Raw genomic sequence first — 5,169 nt, 5'->3', positions numbered from 1 at the left:
TAACTCTCTTCTTAGCCTGTTGACTTAGAGGTAGGAGGAGCCCGAAGTGGCCAGGTGGCAATGTTAACTTCCAGCTTAATGGAATCATTGTTGTGTCTCCTGGTGGCAGCATTCCTCCTTCTGGAACTGAGACCTCTAGGCCAGCAGAACATAATGTCATGAGAACAGAAAGCAAAAATTTTGCTAGTAGGTCACTGGGGATGATGGTCACTGGTGCCACTTCCACTTCCATCCGTTGGTTCCTGGACCTATGAATCCTGGCTATGGGAGAAAAAGTACCATATATTGGATGCTGATTCAGAGCATCCACAGCCTTCTGGAGAACTCTACCACAGCCCTCCAAAGTATTGTCACCTAGTTGGTGTTGTAATTGTGACTTCAAAAGGCAGTTCCATAGTTCTATCAATCCAGCTGCTTCAGGTTGTTGGGAAACACGGTAAGACCAGTGAATTCCATGAGCATGAGCCCACTGCCACACTTCTTTGGCTGTAAAGTGAGTGCCTTGGTCAGAGGCAATGCTGTGTGGAATTTTTCTACTTGGTAAGATAGAGCCTAAAATGAAATCACAGGAGTCTTTATAAGTGGAAGAGACAAGCAGATAACAAACAATAAATCTGTGTTATTTAAAGCCACCAAATTTGTGGTAATTTGCTACTGCAGCAATAGAAATCTAAGACACTTATTAACCACAATAATATGACACTTACTACTAGTAACAATAGAACAGCTGATATTTATTGACCTCTCACCATGTGCCCACAGCATAAGAATTTCACAAAAATTATCTAATTTAAATCTTCCAACAAAATTTTGAAGTTGGTGCTAACTTGTTAGCTCCACTTCAGAGATGTGTCAGTTGAGTCTTAGATTAAACTGTAAGTAAGTGTGTAGTGTATAAGCATCCAGGAAGTCTGAGTTCAGTAACTTCTCTCTGAACTACTTTCTATGTCCTTCCTGTCTGATTAATTATGGGTTAAGCAGAATATTCTTTTGGTTCAATTCTGGTTATTGTAAATCGCTCTGAAAGTATGTAGAATGATTTTCTAAGTTTAATATTCACTTAAGCTTAGTAAAATATAATAAAGGTAATCTCATCCTTCTTTTATAAATGAGCATCTCATAGTACTTCAAGATTATAATTCAAGTCATAATTTGTGTGGGACGTAAATGTCAGGATTGGATTGATACTGCACTGATACTAACTCAGGATTGGGTTGAGTCTTAATCTTCAAAAAATCATCCTTTTGTAGTGATGTTGTTTGCAAAGGACTTTTTCTTTTGCTTAACTTCTCCTATATTTTTCTTAAAATCTCTACATTTTTTAATCTTCCAGAGTTTTCTATTTTTACATACTTATTTGCCTTCTAAAGCTGATTAATCAAATCTATGTGCTTTCTCTAAATAGGCTCCCCCCACCCAGTTTATATTGTGTACAGTTGTGGACTAAAGTTATTTTTCTTGGACTCATTTCTCATTTTCTCTATACTTTTTAATATGTTAATATCATTAAACTCCTGTTTTTCATTTAGATACTTATCTGATGATGACAGCTATTCCTGTATAAATTGCACAAAAGTTGTTCTGAATGTATCTTGATGATGTTCTTGCTGTACAAGGCAGAATGTAAGGTTTGTCCGTGTTCACTGAATTCTTCCTCTACAGAGCTTAAGGGAATCACTGATTCCAACTTCTTAACACTCACAGAAGTAAACAATAAACAAATCAATATGGCTAGGTGTCGTGCCTCATGCCTGTAATCCCAACACTTTGGGAGGCTGAGGCGGGAGGATCACTTGAGGCCAGGAGTTTAAGACCAGCCTGAGCAACATGGCAAAACCCATCTCTACTGAAAATACAAAATTAGCCTGGTGTGGTAGTGCATGCCCGTAGCCCCAGTTACTCAGGAGGCTGAGGTACAAGAATTGCTTAAACCTGGGAGGCGGAAGTTGCAGTGAGCTACTGCACTCTAGCCTGGGCGACAGAGCAAGACTCTGTCTCAAAAATAAATAAATAAATAAATAAAAATGATGAACTGCAAATGTTGCGTCTTAGAAGTTAAGGAGTGATGATAATAATTATGTATTATGTTACATATACTGTATAATAATAGTTATTATTATTATGAGGGGAGTCAAAAAACCTACGTTGCCTAACGTTGCTCATGTCTCCAAGGCTCAAAGATATAAAGCAGTGTCTAGAACTCTTACATGATTCTTCAACCAGCATCCTACCACCACTGCAGGTTTATTAGAAAAGGAGAATTACAAAGGAGAAGGGCAGGAAAAATGAAACAAAACAAAAACTTACAAATATTTTGTATTTCGACTCAAAATTTCTCTGTGGAAATCTAATTCTAATGAGTTGGTTAATTATTGGTTCTCAAAGTGTGGTCCCTTACCAGCAACATCAGTATCACCTGGGAACTTGTTAAAAACACAGAAGCTCCAGCTCCACATCAGACTTACTGAATCAGGAACTCTGGGAAAGAAGCTCAGAAATCAGTATTTTAACAATCCCTCCGAGTGATTCTGATGCACACTAAAGTTTGAGAACCAGTGGATTCCATGATGGGAGAGCCAGGAGGAGCCTCTGGGAAGAACTGAAGTCTAGTTTAAGTATTTTTTATGATGCTTCCCTTTCTGTAGACTGTACTCCAGCTCTCTGTTATCCTTCCATTGGAGTGACCTACAAGGGCAGGGAAAGAACCTAAGAACAAGCCAAAACATACAAAAACAAACAGACAAAAAAATTTAAAAGACACTAATAAGAAAGACGTTATAGGCAGAAGTGCTTTAACTTCTTTTCACACTGGACTCTTTGCCCCAACACAATGGACCAAAAGGGTGCTCAAAGTTGGGACAGTTGGAGATGTGATGCAATCAAGTAGCCATTTTAAGACATGCTCTTAAACATTAGAGAAATAATTTAAAAATGCTGCCAATTAATTCAGATTTCCATAGTGGACAGTTTTACTCCTAAGAAAGTTATCACCTTTAAGTGAACAAACAAGGGAAAAATCACTCTCACTGGTGCCAATGTATCTTTAAGGAGTACTTTTGTGACTCTTCTTGCAGGTTACACTATACAACTATAGTGTACTCCCCAAACCCTGAGGCCAGTTCCTTGATAATTATAGTTAGCTCAAAATTTGAACCTGAATATTGCATGGCATTATGGTATTTACTAATTTAAGTATCTTTATTCTGCCCCTTAAGATGTTATCTGCTTTGAAAAATTGCAATCTGATGACAATTCAAATATTTAAAATGCTATTCCATGTTCAATGCATATAATAAATTACTTATTTTAAATTTAAATGGAACTGTACGATATTTATTAAAAGAAAATTTGTTTCTCACTGCCACCACTAAATAAATATTAAACATCTATTTTCAAATACCAGTGGAAAGGGAGTCACATTTTTAGCTTTTCAGAGATGTTCACGTATTTCCATTTGTCTTTGTCAGGAATTCCTGTGAGCATTCCTCTTCAAGATGGAAGAAAAAGGGAATATTTCACAACCCCAATGGTGAAACGTCTGCCTATAGCCAACAATACAATCTGTGAGTCTTTTCTTGGTACCCAAATTGTTCTGTGGAAGACTTTTTCAAATTTCCAAGAAATAATATTAGCAAAGGACTTTGCCGTTTTGGCTGAAGTAATGCAATAGTTTCCTACTTGATCTCCCTTATCTCACTTTTTCCCCCTCTAATCCACCCTTCTACTAGATAAGTCTCTCTAAAACTTTTAAAACCTTCATCAGATCCTTAATAATTTTCATTAGTTGTGGGCTAAGCCATTTCAACTTCATACTGTTACATATAGGTTTTGAAAAGCCCATGAGCACAATATGTGTATTCATGACAGATCCAGTGCTGTACCAGGAAGTACATAAAGCCACAGGATAAGCATGGTGCATCTTCTTGGACTGTCATTTTTATTCAATAACAAAAATCTAAAAATCATTTTTACATTAATACACATTCCCTTTTTTATAATGACTTTTTTTTATTTTTTATTTATTTATTTATTTATTTATTTATTTTTTTACTTTTTGAGACAGTCTTGCTCTGTCACCCAGGCTGAAATGCAGTGGCGCCATCTCGTCTCACTCGGCTCACTACAACCTCCGCCTCCCGGGTTCAAGCAATTCTTGTGCCTCAGTCACCCAAGTAGCTAGAATTACAGTCATGCGTCACCATGCCCAGCTAATTTTTTTATTTTTAGTAGAGACATGTTTCACCATGTTGCCAAGGCTGGTCTGGAATTCCTCGCCTCAAGTGATCCGCCCACCTCAGCCTCCCAAATTGTTGGGATTACAGACGTGAGCCACTGTGCTCAGCCCACAATTACTTTTAAAATAAATCAAGAGCCTTTTATACTTGTGTAAGACTTCTTTGAGCTCTGTTTTACTTCTGTAAAAATGTTTGAGAAGAATGACACTGTACAAGCTCTCCATTCTGGCTAGCTGTGCTGACTTCGGCATTATGTCCCGTTAAGGCTGTCTAGGCTCTGGTTCTCTTGGTAGCCTCCACTCACCAGTGTAAGTCCTTGATCTCTTCTTTATCAGGGGGATTTACCATACCTATACTGCCCAAGAGTAAGTGATTTGATCTAGAAAGCTTGCAGCTTCCTTAAACTCTTCTAGGTAGCCAGATTCACTTAACTTTCTCAATGAGCTTGATTTGGCCCTCTTGGAAAAGCTACCGAACTAACAGCTGCCATTGCAGGGGTGCGAATGATGCCTCCTAATTATTAAGATTCCTCCTCTGGATCATGGCTGGAAAGAATTCCTAAACAAAGTATACCAAGGTGTATGTTTAAAAAATAAGTTTAAATATGCGTAAAAGAGAAGTAAGGTAAATTCCCAAACGAAGGACGAAGAGATAAGTATATCTGTAGAAAACATAAACTTGATGCCAGATATTTCTTCAAGGATTGATTAAAGGGCAAAAACCTTTTCTGAGAAAGTCACTCGCCATGCCATCTAGCTTATAACCAAGAGACAAAACTAGAGAAATATTGGTTAAAGAAAGATACGTTAAAACAGTGAGTCCTTTACCTAGGAGGAGAGTGCTGTGCTGTGGGGGTTATTAAGAGGCTTAAAAAATTCAACTTTATGAAAGTAAATCTGATCTACAACAAATATATCATGTTAAATATACAATT

At 37.5% G+C, this 5,169-nt stretch overlaps 1 long non-coding RNA gene across 1 annotated transcript in view; it reads left to right on the top strand.

Moving 5' to 3' along the window:
• LOC105375451 (uncharacterized) overlaps positions 1–5,169 on the top strand; it is a 173,872-nt gene that overhangs the window by 98,344 nt on the left and 70,359 nt on the right. Inside the window, exon 4 of the long non-coding RNA XR_927863.3 lies at positions 3,468–3,563. This is a non-coding gene — a long non-coding RNA (uncharacterized LOC105375451). The remainder of the gene's footprint in view (positions 1–3,467; positions 3,564–5,169) is intronic.

This window comes from Homo sapiens, chromosome 7 (assembly GCF_000001405.40).
Source record: "Homo sapiens chromosome 7, GRCh38.p14 Primary Assembly".
NCBI classification, from domain to species: Eukaryota; Metazoa; Chordata; class Mammalia; order Primates; family Hominidae; genus Homo; species Homo sapiens.
This window is presented reverse-complemented; position numbering and strand designations above follow the sequence as displayed.